The sequence below is a fragment of the Homo sapiens genome, chromosome 11 (genome assembly GCF_000001405.40).
Source record: "Homo sapiens chromosome 11, GRCh38.p14 Primary Assembly".
NCBI classification, from domain to species: Eukaryota; Metazoa; Chordata; class Mammalia; order Primates; family Hominidae; genus Homo; species Homo sapiens.
Genome location: NC_000011.10, coordinates 124,737,864 through 124,752,479, shown reverse-complemented (window position 1 = coordinate 124,752,479; position 14,616 = coordinate 124,737,864). Strand labels below are relative to the sequence as shown.

The following is a 14,616-nucleotide window of genomic DNA, read 5'->3' as shown; positions in this document are numbered from 1 at the left end:
ACGCCTTCCAAAGTCAGCTTTCCTTCCGTCTCTGCAGAAGGCCCACCCCAAGCCCAGCGCTTTTCCCAAGGCCGGACAGCTTCAGACCTTGGGGAGAAGAGGAAGGAAGGAGGAAGAAGGGACAGAGGGATTGCAGAATCGGGGCTGGAGGAGAGGAGGGAGGAGCACTTTTTTTTTTTTTTAACCTGCGGCGCCGGCCTCTCCCCTGTTTGCTCTGAGATACCAGTCTCGCTCCTGCCCAGCCCGGGCGGCTGCCCTTGGGTGCTCCCTTCCCTGCCCGACACCCAGACCGACCTTGACCGCCCACCTGGCAGGAGCAGGACAGGACGGCCGGACGCGGCCATGGCCGAGCTCCCGGGGCCCTTTCTCTGCGGGGCCCTGCTAGGCTTCCTGTGCCTGAGTGGTGAGGAGGGGCCGGGCGGGACCACGGCGAGGGCTGGGGGGCATAGGCCTGGCTTCCCCGGCTCCTCGGACCCACTCTGTCCCCGCCAGGCCAGATGAGGCTGCCGTGGGCGCCAGGGGCCCTAAGGCGCCTGAGGTGAGGCCGGAGAGGGGGTGTCCAAGGCCCGGAGGGCGTAGGAGAGAGACCCCCAAGCCGGCGAGCGAGTTGGGCCTCTCCGCGGCACAGGCCTGAACCACCCCACCGCAGGGCTAGTGTTTTCCTTTCTCTGCTAAACACACACACCCTCTTACCTGGCCCGGTTCCGGCTCTTTTACCCACAAAGACCCGGCCCCTCCCGGAAACCTCAGGTTTTGGGAAGGGAGGGGTTGGATTGAGGGGAGAGGGTTGTGCTCTGGGGAGGGAGCCCCCAGCTTCCAATATAGATGCCCGGGGGTGGGCCCGACCCTCCAGATCACTGGAATTTGGGTTCCCACCTCCCTCTGGTCCCCGGCCCCAGGGCTGGCCGTGGAGGTGAAGGTACCCACAGAGCCGCTGAGCACGCCCCTGGGGAAGACAGCCGAGCTGACCTGCACCTACAGCACGTCGGTGGGAGACAGCTTCGCCCTGGAGTGGAGCTTTGTGCAGCCTGGGAAACCCATCTCTGAGTCCCATCCAGTGAGCTGAGAGCGACTGCATGAAGCTGGGTTGGCCTGGAGGGACAGGAGCCCAGGATGAGGGCATGGGGTCGGGAGGGGGAGTTTGGGGATCAGTATGCTTGGATGAAAAGGTAAGTGGGCTCTCCCTAGATCTTTTCAGAGCTGCAGTCTGCCTGACCGTGTATCTTCCTTTCCTCTTCCATAGCTCCTATTTCCAACTCCCCTGCCTTAGTGTATCCATTGACACTAAGGTGTTGTGACTGATACCAAGATAATATGCTGCCTCTTCTGCCTCTCTCTTTGAGAGAGAGAGAGAGAGACCAATGGATCAGGTTCATTTAGCACCTGAAAGGGGGTGGTGTTTGGGGACAGAGAGACCTTTGGAGTTCCAGCTTAAGGGTATCAGCCTCCCTGGCTGATGTAAGTCAGAGGCCTCTTATACCCACTTTGATGAGGAAGGACTGTAGAGTTGATGCCAGGCAGAAACAGGCACATATGTGTGTCTTCTGCCTCTCCCCAGATCCTGTACTTCACCAATGGCCATCTGTATCCAACTGGTTCTAAGTCAAAGCGGGTCAGCCTGCTTCAGAACCCCCCCACAGTGGGGGTGGCCACACTGAAACTGACTGACGTCCACCCCTCAGATACTGGAACCTACCTCTGCCAAGTCAACAACCCACCAGATTTCTACACCAATGGGTTGGGGCTAATCAACCTTACTGTGCTGGGTAAGGCAGACTGGGGATCCACGAGCCACATACTCTTTCACATACTTGGGGCGTTTGCACTGGTCTTGCTAAATCTCTGGTTTCTGACTTTTAGCCCAAGCACACAACTGCACTGGGGGCCCCAAGTGAAAATACTCCCTTTCCAAGTCTTCTAATTCAGATGGTCATACTCCAACTCCACCCTCCACCGAGAGCATCTCCTCCATCAGAGCCTAATAACAGAGTGTGTGAGAGAAAGTCCTTCCCATACATGGGGATCTGAGCCTGCTCCCAGCAGCTCCATCATGGGGGAGGCTCTCATCGGTAGTTGGATTCTGTCCCTCCCAAGGTCAATGGCAGAGAAGGGGAGTGGCCACCAAAGGAACAAGGGCCCCTATTACTGAGCACCAACTTCGTGCTCAGAGCTTCTGTCTCACCCCAAACTAGAGCCTTTTCAGAGATGAGCAACCAGAAAAACTATCACAGAGACTGGCAGTGTTTAGATGGAAAAGAGAAGGCCTCGGATGGGTGTATTACTGCTGGATTCAACTATCCAAAGGGCTGTCATGTGGAGGAGAGATTTTAATTTCTCTTTGTGGGCCCAAAGGGCAGGAACTGAAACCAATGGGTGGAGGTTATGTTAACACACATTTTGGCTCAACATGAAGAAGAATTTTCTCTAACAATCAGAATTTCCAATAGTGGAAATCCCTCAGTTCCTGGGGATGCAGTGGTGTGTGGACCCAAGAGGACCACTGTTTGATAGGGGTATTGAAGTAGAGAATGTAGCACCTAATGGAGTTGGGAGTGGGGCTGGAAGATTGCTGAGGAACTTTCTGTTTTTTTTTTTTTTTTTTTTTTTTTGCAGTTCCCCCCAGTAATCCCTTATGCAGTCAGAGTGGACAAACCTCTGTGGGAGGCTCTACTGCACTGAGATGCAGCTCTTCCGAGGGGGCTCCTAAGCCAGTGTACAACTGGGTGCGTCTTGGAACTTTTCCTACACCTTCTCCTGGCAGCATGGTTCAAGGTAAGGGCCCAGGGCATCAGGAAGAGGGTACTGGAGACCTGGGCAAATCTGGTCTCTAAATCCCACACACCCGTATTATCCGTTCCATGACTAGGGGTATGACACAAACCACTATACCTTTCCCTGTCTCTTCCTTGGCTTCCTGTATTGTTCCCTCCTGCCTGTCTTTCTGCAGTCTGTGGCTGCATGATCCTGGGGGTATTTCTCAAGCTGAATATACTGCTGATATCCTGGAAGAGAGTAGAGGGCAGGGAGCAATCTGATGATGACCACCCATCTGCCTTGGGGAGATTTCTTTTAGGTTTCCTAAGGGTCGTGGACCACTTCCAAACTTCCTAGAGAGGAAACTGAGGCAGAGTAGCATGGACTGGCTGGAATCTTTTAACCAGTTTCTTTGGAGGAGCCTTAGTTTCTTGGCTTCCTCTTCCTGGATCCAGTTCTCTCTCCAGCCCCAGCAAACTCCTTTATCAATCCAGAAATGAATGACCCACCCCCAGATCACCTTCCTGGTATGTGCTCTGCCTTCTAAGGCAAAGGTAAACAGTTTAGAAAAGCATTTGTGTCAGCTTAGAGCCACCCTACAGGATGCAGTTTCTAGCAATCAAGCCTTTTACCCCAAACCAGGAACCTGACATCAGCCAGTAAGCACCCCACCCCGACTCCATTGCCAGTTTCTGAATCCTTCATGAGTGTGCAGTCCTCCTCCTCCCAAAAAGGCAGCTATGTAGGGTGGAAAGAACAGGTAAGTTGTAGCAGCTTTGGAATTCCTCTCTGGGTCACCTCAGACACACTACTTCCTTCTTCTGAACCGGTTTCCTCCCCAGTGAAAAAAAATTAGTTGCTCCCTGACAGGATTGTTATAAGGATGACATGAAATGTGCTGTCCTCGTAGAGCTGCTCACTGAGTTGAATGAGTCGTGGAACACTTCCTCTTCATCCTCTAGATGAGGTGTCTGGCCAGCTCATTCTCACCAACCTCTCCCTGACCTCCTCGGGCACCTACCGCTGTGTGGCCACCAACCAGATGGGCAGTGCATCCTGTGAGCTGACCCTCTCTGTGACCGGTAGGGATGCTGGGTGGAGGCCAGGCCAGCAGCCTTGTGTTGGGGAAGCTGTCGGCTGGTGGGCCGAGGAAAGCCTGCAATTCTGAGTGAGGGTCCTGTATCTCCTTAGAACCCTCCCAAGGCCGAGTGGCCGGAGCTCTGATTGGGGTGCTCCTGGGCGTGCTGTTGCTGTCAGTTGCTGCGTTCTGCCTGGTCAGGTTCCAGAAAGAGAGGGGGAAGAAGCCCAAGGAGACATATGGGGGTAGTGACCTTCGGTGAGCAGGAGGGCTGGGGGGTGGCGCAAGGAGGGAGGAAAGGGCTTGAGTTAAAAGCGGGTGCCTGCAACCCTCAAACTCCGACATCATTCAGTGTGTTTAGGGGCAGGAGGTGTTGTTCAGCCGTGGAATTTGCTGGTGGCAGCAGTGTAACCTGTGTATTTGAGGGTACAGGCAAGCGGTACAGGGTGGAGTGGCTGGTCCACAAGCTGTGGCAGGGAAGCTGTTTGCAGGACTGCCCTGCCCCTCCTCATATTTAATAAAGTTTACTTTTCTGTTCCGAAGGTATTTTCATATATTTTAACCACCTGGGAGTAGTAGTGGCTTGTAGATGCCAGGAAATGGATTTGTCCTGAGCAGTCAGCTGAGTTCAATTCTTCTGTGGAGGAAATCAGGAAAGGGGAGGGGAAACTGCCTCTGTCATCCACTTTAGCTGCCAGTCAGGGTCTAGGATAGGGATCAGAGCAACATTTCTCCAGGTGGAGTCCTCAGATTACCTGGACAGAAATCACCGGGAACTAGTTATACATTCAGATTCAGGCCACTTCTAGCCTTCCTGTAGTTGTGCGTTGGGGAGTGATGAGGCCCAGAAATTTCATTTTAACCAAAGTTCCGCAGATTATTCTCAAGCACAGTGAAATTTAAGAGTCCCCAGGTTAGAGGACGGCCCTCCTCCGCAGGAGGCTTCTACTGTTCACTCAGAACTTGCCTATACCCATCAGGGAGGATGCCATCGCTCCTGGGATCTCTGAGCACACTTGTATGAGGGCTGATTCTAGCAAGGGGTTCCTGGAAAGACCCTCGTCTGCCAGCACCGTGACGACCACCAAGTCCAAGCTCCCTATGGTCGTGTGACTTCTCCCGATCCCTGAGGGCGGTGAGGGGGAATATCAATAATTAAAGTCTGTGGGTACCATACTGTCTCCTTCTTCTTTCTGCTGGTATGGCGAATTCCTCTAGGCGGCTCAGAGTATTAACAGTAAGAGAAGGAATGGGCTTGAAGTCCGAGAAAAGGTAGGCAGGAAGTTTGGTCGGGTCAAAGGGGTGGGTTTCAACCTAGGTGCCCCTCCACTTCACCCCACCAGCCCCCGATTGTTGGTTTCTGGTTTGGCCCAAGGAGGCTTGTTCAAGTTGCAAGCGGAGGCCTTGTGCACCCAAACTCCCTCCCCCGGCACCCTCTGAACACTTGGACATTCCTCTTTATTGTTCACATTCCAACCCAGCACAGTCACATGCACACACGGAGATCAGAAACCTTTCGGCCACAGCCCCAGGAGCCCGGCGGGGGGGAGGGCGGGACCGACAGGGGCGGGGCGGGGCCGTGGAAGACTCCTCCTACCGAGCCTCCCAGGCGCTCGGCGTTTGCATAAACAAGAGAGCTGGAGAGGCTGCCCTCAACAGTGCGCTGGGGAAAGGGGAGGGAACGTGACAGGCAGGTGTGGGATAGGGACTTCTCTTCCGGTCAGAGCAAGGGTCGTCCGAAACCAAAACAACCCTCTTCCCTTCATCTCGCCCCGGATCCAAAGTCTTGGGGCTAGGCTGGGGCGGGAGTGGCACGGAGATGTAGGGCGCCCCTTTTAGCTGCGCACAGAACGAAAGAACTCGTTTTTTCTTTAAGTGAGTGTGCTTGGGTGACGCTTAGGGCGCCCTCCGCAGTGCGCGCAGGAAAGCGCACTGAGGCTGCGGAGGCAGAGCTGCATGCTGGGTGCGGGAAGAGGTGGGCGAGAAGCAAAAGAAGGAAGATTGGGAGCGCATGGTTTAGGGTGGGGTGGAGTGGAAGGGCAAATGGGGACCATACTAGACTGCAGAACTAACTAAAAGGGCACGGACTCAGCGACTCCGCGACGGAGCCTGCCTGGGTGAGGGAGTCTCTGGGACGCAGGGGGCTCCTGTAGCTGGCAGGTTGCTGGGCAGGAGGGGGTCACAAACACGGCAGGGAAGTCTCGTCGCTGCGAAGGGGACGCGGCATCCATCTCTCCTCGGGAACTGAGGAGAGAAAAGGTCTGAGAACCTGCCCTCTTCTGCTACTTCCTCTTCCCCCCACCCTTCCCCCTTTCAGTACCAGGATTCTTTGGGCGGTGAGTGCCAGAGGGCCCCAGTCACCCAGAACCCCCACCCCGAGTCAAAGCGCTGAAATGAGCCCCGCGGCAGGTACGTGTGCGCGCCGCGATGTATTTCTGCCCCTTGGCCGGGCTTGTGCAGCCAAATGGGGTGGCTGCGCATGTCTTGGTCCAGGTATGTCCCCGTCGCAGCCTCGGGCGTCTGGATGTATCAGAAAACCCGCAGGGGCAGGGTGCATTTTCCCCGGCTGGGAGGGGTGAGGGTGGGCAGAGGGAAGGGCTGGGGATTCGATCCTTTTCTCCCACTCACGGGTCCCACCCCGCCGCCTAGGGGCCGTGTTCATTACCTTTGAAAATGCTCAGTTCTTCTTCGGTCCAGGGCGGGGCAGAAGGGAGGATGCAGAGGGAGAAACAGGTGAGCTCCTGGAATCCGCGCAACCTTCAGCCTCTTCCCACCCACCTCCCATCTCGGATTTCTATCCCCCAACCCTTAGCTCCCTCCACGCCCCCTGCACCTCCAACCCGCCCTTATTCTCCCCCTGCTCCTGGGGAGGGCTGGGGAAGGGCAGCTGTCAGCCAGCCGCGCGCCGCCCGCCTCACCTGGCCTAGTCTCCGCTGGGGCCGCCGCCCGCGCCTCCCCGGGCCACCCCAGCTCCGCCAGGCCCCCCAGGGCCCGGGCCCTTCCGGCCGCGCTCTCCGCTCTTTATCTTCTTCCGCGCCATGTGGCCCCGAAAACTCGCCTGGATTTTGGCGGCGGCCGCGTTGGCGCCGGGATCGTCCAGCGGGATGTCTAGAATGTCGTCGTCCGGCTTGGAGCAGGCGTTCTCCTGGGGGCGAAGCAGGGGGGTTCTTGTGGGGTCACTGGGTCTTGATCCGCGGGAGTGGGGTAGGAATAGAGCCCTGAGGGACAGGGACTATGGCGACGCGGGGGTGGGAGGTACAGAGAGGGGTGTCGAGCCTGGAGCAGGGCTATGGCAGGGACACTCACTGGGGCATGGGCAGCGACAGGCGAAGAAGGTTCAGGGCCAGGTGGACAGTCATGTCTCAATTCAGGAAAGAGAAGTGCAGGCAGGATTGGGTGCGGGAGAGCCAGGCCCATCACCAGCACCGAGTTAGGGGTCTGCAGAGCTGATTGGAGGGTGGGTTTGGAGGGGCAAGGAAAACAGCAGCAGGCACTCCTGGAGTGGCCGCCTGTCCCCCTGCTCTCAGAGGGTACCTCCAGCTCAGAAGGACCCAGTCTGAGTCCAGGGTTTTCCGTGGAGAGGATGGAGAAGCCTCAGTCCGCCAGCCCTCTCCCCAGTAGAAATGCAGAAAGCTCACAGCTGGAATTAGGGAGAGGATGGGGATACTAGTCAGTGAGCCAGCCTCCCCCGACCTAAGGCTAGAGGCCCAGAGATTGTTTTCCCATTGACTCTTCATTTTCCACTGCCCAAGGATGAACTCAAACACAGGAGATAGGAGATGATTTGGATGAAGTGATAAAGAAAAGGCTTCACTCCAAGAAAAAAAAGAAAAAGAAAAGAAAATGAAAAGACCTGCAGGAGCAAGAAGCCCTTTCCAGGGTGTGCTTATGAGGAAGAAGGGAATTATGGTGATAGCTACCACTTAAGCACTTACCTTGTTCCAGGTGCAATAACGGTGTTTTACAGGCATTATTTTATTTAGTCCCCCAAAATAAAGCTATTACGTACCTTTTTATCATTACCCCTAATAAAACTAATGATTAGACTGTTTAAAAACCTACCTGGGTCATACGGACAGTTACCAGTGGACCCAAGATTCAAACCTTTGTATTTCAGAGTCCAGAATATATATTTTTACCCCTACTTTGTAGGATAAGAAAATGCAGCCCAGTCAACCAGCCAAGGTCTACCATTTGCTATAGGTGTGTGGCCTTCGGCAAGTTATCTAATCTTTTCCTATCTCAGCTCCTTCCTCTAAAATATCAGGATAATGGTATCCACCTCTATGGGTCGTGGGGAAGAATAAACAGCATGATATGCATAAAGTCTCTTGCACAACCTAGCTGCTCAATAAATGGTAGCTTTTATGCTTGTCTTAAAAATAACATTAAGTTAATGTGAAATAGTCATTTTTGTAGGCCAAAAGTGGTCATATAATAACAATTTCATATGGTTCAACCTAATAATAATCAGGCCCACCTCTATGCCCCAAACTAGGTTTCTGCTTCTCTGACAGCCTGCCCTGGCTGAAAGTAGAAGGCGTGAGGGGATTGATGGTATAGATTGCAGAGGAAAGGCTATGGAACGGAGAGGAATTCAGCCTCTGAGCCCTTTTGTTGCATTAACATTACTTGCAGTATTAGTGTGGGTCAGGATGGGGATGGTTACTATGAAGTTAGAAGGACATTTCTCCTTTGATCTGGCTCACTGGCTTCTAGGAATTTGCCTCCTTCTTTTTTTTTTTCTTTTCATGAAGTCTTCCACTGCTTTGACTATCTTTTTCTTCTAGGACACGAGATGACCAAGGTTTCACATAATAATGGTAATTCAGTTCTGCACATTAGCTCTCCCTGCCATCATCCATCCGGTTCATAGAAGTGGACAGGATATGAGGAAGGCTTCAGTGATCACTGTCCTAGCCAGATTCTGCCCCAGGACCACAAGCTTAAACTCCAGATGCCCAAGCCCCGGCTTATAAATGGTTCCCCTCGCCATGTTTCCCAAGGTTAGCCTCATTTCCTGGGCTTCACATTCTTCAATTCGTGCTCAAGATGCCCATAATCGATTTAAACACAGTTAAAAGGAGTTACATTTTGGTAGAAGAGTCAAAAAAACAGAAAGAAAAAAAGAGTTACAAAAAGGCAGGTATGGTTGTGGAAAGGCCAAACACAGGTCTAGGGTGCTCAGAAAAGACTCCTTTGGAATGTTTTATTCTTAGAGCTCAAGTCTTTCTTGGGATATCCTCAGGGAACAGTGAGGCTTCTTCTCAAGAGGGTGACAACCATAAAAAAGCATTCCTGACCTACCTTTCCTCCTTGGCCTCGCAGCTGTGGAGGAGTGGGAAGGTTGAGTGGAGGAAGGGATATCTGCCTCCAACCACGCTAGACCCGACCTGCTGTCACCGCCCGCCCCAGCTGGATCCAGAATGGAAACCTGGAATAGCAGGCAAAGCCACCCCCGACACTCCATGTTCCTCCCCAGAACCAGCTCCCTCTCCTACCAGCTGAATTTTCAGGACAGAGCTGCCAGGTGGCCAGTCCACAGGTGGAAGTGGAAGGAGATTGAAAGGACCTGGGAAGAGGTTCATTGGTCATGGTGCCTGGCTGGTGCTTTCCAAAGCCAAGGTTGCTGGTGTGTGCCTGACAGTTCCATAGGAAGTAGGGACTTCTGGGAGGGAGGAGGAGGTGGAAGGTGCCCTGGTCAGCAAAGTGGGGTCCAAGCCTTCTAGTCCCAACTGGGCACATCACTTCATCTCTGAGAGTCTCATTTTCTTCAGCCACAACTAATGAACAAAGTCTCCTTCAGCTCCCAAATCCGAATAGCTTTAAGGATATCCCCTGCTTGCTGCTTGTTATTATGTCAGGCCCTGTGCTAAGCGCTTTGCATATATTACCTCATTTAATCCCCATTTTGGAAGTCAGGAAACAGCCTCTGAGACATTTTGTAACTTAGCTAAGGTCACTCAGTTGACAAATAGTGAAGTGATGGGATTCAGTAGCCTCTGCTGCTAGCCACTGCCTCAGGGCAGGTAATTATTTCTATGAATTCAGCAGGGCCAAGCCAACTAGACTAAGCAAAAGAAATGAGGATCCAAAAAAATTCATGCGCTTTTTCATGCGCGGTGAATGCAGGAAAAGTCATATATATATATGGCTATGTAAATCAGCAACTGCAATATTTGAATCAGCATGAATAAAAAACCATTCCTCTGTCTCTTAAAAAAATAGGCAGATCTGTTTTCTTCTTCCTCATTTCTATCTGAGCCTCTGTACCAAGGAGAAACGGGAATAAGACAGGACTAGATTCTTCCCAAACACCAGGTGATGCGGTCAGTGAGGAGAGCTCCAGAATCAAAAGATGAAGAAGGACCTGCCTCTAGCCCCCAAGAGGTATGCTGTTCTTCCCACACATCTCAGCTCTCTCCCAGCACTGAGTCCAGCCCTCCACAGAAAGGGGAGGAAAATGCCCACCCCTAGCCCTGCCCTTCCCCAACCCTCCACACATCACTCCTTCTTCTTCCTGCCCTCCTGCACAGTCTGATAATGGTGCTCTCTCTTGCTCAGCCCTTTAGCCCTGCAGACCTAGGACAGGGCATGACTTGGGAAGGCTCCTGTGCACAGGGTGCACTGGAGGAGGTGCCCCAGGCCCTGGGCCATGGAGATAATTGTGTATCTGCTTCTCTTTTACCTTTTGGGTGGGTAGCCTCTCCTTTTTTAAGGGACACTGACTTCAACCATGTCTACTAATCCCTCAGTATGGCTCCCTGGGCACTCAAGAGCAACAGTTCCAGGCAGGGACCCCCACATCCTACTCTAATTACTACTGCAGACACAGAGGAGACCAATTCCATTCCTTCCCTGGCCTCTTGGATTCTTTGTTTACTCACCTCTTTCCAGTGACCACGTCTCCCACTTCCCCTTCCCCAGCAATACTCCCCTGTCATCCTCACCTCTCCCCTCCCCCCAGCTCATTTCCCAGAACCCACCATCCATTTATCTTCTCTACTTTATACAACACTGCTGGGAGGAAGGGCTCTTCCTCAGTGGAGCCCAGGAACCTCCATGAGGAGCCCATTTCTCCCTTCACAACCAAAAAATTGCTTCCTGTAGAATAACAAGCAGAGGGAAAAGGCTGGAAGGAGATATGTTATCGGGGTGTTCTCCAGGGGGTGGGACTGTAGGTGACTGACATGTTTGTTTTTCATACTTTTCTCTAGGTTTTACGTTTTCTATTATGAGCAGATTACTTTTATAATCAGTAAATATTTAGAGGAGAGGTTAAACCACAGCTCTTCGAAGAAGACAGGGCTATGTTTGAATCCTGCCTCCACAGTTAGGAGTCATGCTTCCTTGGAAAAATCTAACTTTCTAAACCTCAGTTGGCACATCTGTGAAATAATACCTACTTCACAGGGTTGTTGCTATGATTAAATATAAAGTGCTGGCTACAGGGCAGGCATTCACAAACTGGCAACTATTACTTAAACTAATAAGAGTTAAAATCGCAACCACCACCACTTGCCCCTAAGTGTTCTCTGCCTCTTGGTACCCAGACATGGGAAAGTCTCACCTATTATAGAACTGGGCTATCCTTCCCTTCCAAAGCCCACTTTTTTTTTCTTTACTATGCCATAAGGTGGCAAAGTCAGTAACCTCGTGTATCATTAGCTGGTTGACTGAATGACTGAAAATACAAGGACTTTGGAATAGTCTTTCTCCAAGTGCAGAGGCAAAAAATAAATAAGCAAACAAATAAATTTCATATACGTATGATCACTGTACTCTTCCAGTGAGGCAGGAGCCAGGGCCTATGCCAGGCGCTTTCATACCGAGTCACCTTTACAGCAAACCCCTCGGGCGCTGGGCACTTGCAGTACCCAGGTTTCCGCGTGGGCGCTGACAAATTGCAGACACTTCCTTTCCTCGCCAGCAGGGCTCTCTCGCGGTCACTTCACCCAGCCCCTTCCGAGCGAGAAGGCCTTGGGGGCCGGGACAACCCCTCCCCAGAACCACCCTGACTAGGCTCTTTGCAGCCAGCATCACTACCGAGCTAACCAATATGGACCAGCCTGCGCTGCACAGGGCGCTTAGGCGATCGTTGGAGGGTCATGAGGATCAGCCTGTCCGCCCACCGACGGCGGCGCAGTGGGATGGGGAACGGGGTGGGGGCCGAAAGACGGGAGGAAGGAGTCGCTGCAGTGTCTCCAGGCGATGGTTGCCAGCGTCTCACTGGGGAGGAAGTTCCTCCTGTCATCCAACCCGCAGTTCCCCTCTTGCAGAGCCCTGCCGAGCTCCCAGTCCAGCCTAGGCTGTCTAACGGATGGGCGCTCAGACGCCCCCGCGAGTTGAGGAGCATTTTTCCTAGGGCTTCCAAGTCGGGCGGGCGCCTTCCACCATCCACCACCCACGTCTCGGCAAGGACCCCTTTTCTTTCTGCTCCTAGGTCTTCCGCATCCACTTCCATCCCTCTCTCGCCCTCCAGGGCTTTCTCAGGCGCCTCTCGCAGCGGACCCCGCCAAGTGCCCCTCCCCCGGGCCCTCTAACTTACGGTGCAGCAGTCCATGCTGGTGTCGGGGGGTCCTCTGCGGGGACGAAGGCTGGCGCAGGGCGGGGGTGGGGTCTGTGTGGTGCCGGGTGGGGGCTCTGGGGCAGTCGGCCGCCAGCCGACCCGCGCCGAAACAGCAGCTCTGCTCTCGGGTCCGGTCTCCCGCGCTCGGCTCCGCTCGCGAATGTAACCTGAGCCCCGCGGCCGGGAAGCCAATCAGGAGCAGCCTCCGGCAGGGTGGGCGGGGAGAAGTGGAGGGAGGGCCACGCCCTCTCGCGGCTCTCTGCGCCGCGCTCCCGCTCCTGCCCCAGCCCCTCCGCCTACACGCTTGTATCCAAGCCTCCTACACACTCCATCCTCCCGGGCGCAATCCCCTGGCTTGCTAGGCGGCAGACTGCCAGGCAGATGTACGCCGGAGTAGGCAGAAGGAGGCCCCCGACACCCCGAGCACAAACACCCACATCTGGGCACAGCACCTACTCCCGCTCAGAGAAAACCACGCACCCCTCACCCATCCCTCCATACTTCCACAACCTAGCAGGAGTCCCAAATATGGCTCCCTTTCACTTCACTCCCCCTCAGTCCGCAAAGAAAGGCTCCCTAACGGGCGGTAAAAAGGTCTCATCATCACTCCTGCTACAGACGGAGAAACCTGTTGGTACAACCTGGCGATGGGCATGCGTCCACACAAAAGCTCACAAGCCCCACATGTCCACATATGATTTTCCCAGGCCTTCTTCCAGCATACAGACACTGCAGATACAACCTGCAAAAATAACTACGCAGCCCTTCAGTTGCAGGTAAATGCGGACACCCTGTTGCGGGCGCCCGCGCGCTCACGCACGCACACGGACAGTCACCCAACTCAAGCTGTCGGCATGACGTATCTATTATCGATCTGTCTACATGAGCTGCAACAAACAACATCATATATGCACAACACCTATTTTGTATGTATTTATATATGGGCACAGACTTGGAAGAAGTATCCTCCTCCCTTTCATACCAGACTCTGCCTAACCTTTTGATCTGCTGCCTCAGAATAAGACAAAAGCTGGCCATCCTCGCCCTTGCTCCTGAGAAGAAGAAAAATACCCTAAACCCAAGTGTAGAGAATTCGAAGTAATTGGCTCTTGGGTCCATGATGAGGCAGGATGTGGGCTTCGTGAGAGGCTGGGAAGGGGAGCTATGGAAAGAGCATCTGGGAGGGACAGACTGCCACTGTTGTGGTCGTCAGCCTCCCCCAACTCGGCAGGGTACAAAAGCTGGCAGTGTGGCTTGTTATGTGGGTAGGGTAGGCCTTCTCTGAGAAAACTAGAAAGTCTTCTCAGCTAAGGTCCCAGAGAAGGGAAGGAGGAAAGGATGGCTCCTGCTGGGAGCAAAGGTGGGAAATGCCCTGTGGCTCTGGTTGGGACAGCAGATCCTGAGACAGCTCTGCTGTGCATCCCCAGTCCCTGGCCATGACCAGGGACCACGTGGCGGTGACATGCTTCCTTTCCACCTAGATGTTTGGGCCCGAGGCTCTGCTTGCCAAAGGAAAAATGAGTGGGAGAGAAATGCCTGAGTCCATTCAGGGTGGGGATAAGGTTAGCCAGCTTGGGGTCCCAGGCTGAGCTGGATGCTGGCCGGGATTCCAGGGCTTGGGGTGTAGGGGTGTCTCTCCCAGCATGTTTGGGACCCACCCACTTTTGTAAAAAAAAATCTGTTCCCCAATCTGTCTCTGGCACATCTTTCATCTCCCCACCTCCTCCAAGTGGCCAGATGTCCTGGGAACTCAGGCCCTTGCCTAAATGACACGCACATCTGTGGCCTTCTGTTGTGCCAATTCCTGCTGGACTTCAACTCCAGAATCCAGAGAGGAGAGGAAAGGGGGAAATTGGGGGACAGAGTGGATACCAGGCCTAGACTCTGTGCTTTTCTCTTCCCAAATTAGAGCTGAGGAATTCGGGATTTGGTGAGTTTGCAGTCAAGTCTCCCAAGTTGCTAGGCAACATCCCTCTGCAGACTGCGCTGCCTCTGGGCCCTTCTTCCTGCTGGTCAGAACTGAAGGGGGGGTATCTTTACAACACCCCCCCCACCAACTCCCACACAGGCAGCACAGCCCTTCCCTCTTCCTGAAGGACACCTTTGTGTGGGGTGAGGGTGTCTCTGAACACTGGAGGGCCCATAGGAGAACAGATACGGCAACTGTCAGTTCCATCCGCAAAGCAACCATTTCAGCAACAGCCCACTCAAGGCG

General features: G+C 53.7%; 2 protein-coding genes and 1 long non-coding RNA gene across 8 annotated transcripts, besides 6 other annotated features; 2 read left to right on the top strand and 1 right to left on the bottom strand.

Moving 5' to 3' along the window:
* Positions 1-224: 224 nt before the first annotated feature.
* Positions 225-5,006, top strand: VSIG2 (V-set and immunoglobulin domain containing 2). Of its 4 annotated transcripts, NM_014312.5 has the most exons (7): positions 225-403; positions 900-1,057; positions 1,559-1,766; positions 2,614-2,772; positions 3,717-3,836; positions 3,946-4,090; positions 4,813-5,006. In NM_014312.5, exons 1-7 carry the CDS (start codon positions 343-345, stop codon positions 4,943-4,945), a joined length of 984 nt encoding a protein of 327 aa, NP_055127.2. In that variant the 5' UTR covers positions 225-342; the 3' UTR covers positions 4,946-5,006. The 4 variants fall into 4 exon arrangements, with proteins under 4 accessions (NP_055127.2, NP_001316849.1, XP_047282641.1 ...); NM_001329920.2 differs by lacking the exon at positions 4,813-5,006 and having other exon boundaries at positions 3,946-4,374; XM_047426685.1 differs by lacking the exons at positions 900-1,057; positions 1,559-1,766.
* Positions 466-1,027: an enhancer, noted in NCBI's record as "H3K27ac-H3K4me1 hESC enhancer chr11:124621349-124621910 (GRCh37/hg19 assembly coordinates)". NCBI's record gives its function as "activates a minimal SCP1, AML or CMV promoter by ChIP-STARR-seq in primed H9 embryonic stem cells {active_cell/tissue: H9 hESC(primed)}" and the evidence as "EXISTENCE:reporter gene assay evidence [ECO:0000049][PMID:30033119]".
* NRGN (neurogranin) lies at positions 5,270-12,538 on the bottom strand. 2 transcript variants are annotated; one of them, NM_001126181.2, is made up of 4 exons: positions 12,381-12,538; positions 6,751-6,977; positions 6,498-6,518; positions 5,270-6,076 (listed from the first exon to the last, which is right to left on the bottom strand). In NM_001126181.2, the coding sequence occupies exons 1-2, from the start codon at positions 12,393-12,395 to the stop codon at positions 6,756-6,758; spliced, it is 237 nt and encodes a 78-aa protein (NP_001119653.1). In that variant the 5' UTR covers positions 12,396-12,538; the 3' UTR covers positions 5,270-6,076; positions 6,498-6,518; positions 6,751-6,755. The 2 variants fall into 2 exon arrangements, with proteins under 2 accessions (NP_001119653.1, NP_006167.1); NM_006176.3 differs by having other exon boundaries at positions 6,498-6,515.
* Positions 5,276-5,535: a silencer, noted in NCBI's record as "silent region_4027". NCBI's record gives its function as "represses an Ori minimal core promoter by ATAC-STARR-seq in GM12878 lymphoblastoid cells {active_cell/tissue: GM12878}" and the evidence as "EXISTENCE:reporter gene assay evidence [ECO:0000049][PMID:35858748]".
* Positions 5,502-6,035: an enhancer, noted in NCBI's record as "H3K4me1 hESC enhancer chr11:124616341-124616874 (GRCh37/hg19 assembly coordinates)". NCBI's record gives its function as "activates a minimal SCP1, AML or CMV promoter by ChIP-STARR-seq in primed H9 embryonic stem cells {active_cell/tissue: H9 hESC(primed)}" and the evidence as "EXISTENCE:reporter gene assay evidence [ECO:0000049][PMID:30033119]".
* Positions 5,515-8,218, top strand: NRGN-AS1 (NRGN antisense RNA 1). Of its 2 annotated transcripts, none has more exons than NR_197587.1 (4): positions 5,515-5,707; positions 6,150-6,241; positions 6,482-6,565; positions 7,585-8,218. It is a non-coding gene; the product is annotated as an NRGN antisense RNA 1 (long non-coding RNA). The 2 variants fall into 2 exon arrangements; NR_197588.1 differs by lacking the exon at positions 5,515-5,707 and adding an exon at positions 5,819-5,949.
* Positions 6,570-7,103: an enhancer, noted in NCBI's record as "H3K4me1 hESC enhancer chr11:124615273-124615806 (GRCh37/hg19 assembly coordinates)". NCBI's record gives its function as "activates a minimal SCP1, AML or CMV promoter by ChIP-STARR-seq in naive H9 embryonic stem cells {active_cell/tissue: H9 hESC(naive)}" and the evidence as "EXISTENCE:reporter gene assay evidence [ECO:0000049][PMID:30033119]".
* Positions 12,400-12,719: a silencer, noted in NCBI's record as "silent region_4026". NCBI's record gives its function as "represses an Ori minimal core promoter by ATAC-STARR-seq in GM12878 lymphoblastoid cells {active_cell/tissue: GM12878}" and the evidence as "EXISTENCE:reporter gene assay evidence [ECO:0000049][PMID:35858748]".
* Positions 12,780-12,839: a silencer, noted in NCBI's record as "silent region_4025". NCBI's record gives its function as "represses an Ori minimal core promoter by ATAC-STARR-seq in GM12878 lymphoblastoid cells {active_cell/tissue: GM12878}" and the evidence as "EXISTENCE:reporter gene assay evidence [ECO:0000049][PMID:35858748]".

Bases quoted from the DNA above. Each gene is read 5' to 3' on its own strand.
- VSIG2 (NM_014312.5), top strand. From the start codon at position 343: ATGGCCGAGCTCCCGGGGCCCTTTCTCTGCGGGGCCCTGCTAGGCTTC. The intron at 1,058-1,558 runs GTGAGCTGAGAG...GCCTCTCCCCAG, and splicing joins CCATCTCTGAGTCCCATCCA to ATCCTGTACTTCACCAATGG. The intron at 1,767-2,613 runs GTAAGGCAGACT...TTTTTTTTGCAG, and splicing joins AATCAACCTTACTGTGCTGG to TTCCCCCCAGTAATCCCTTA.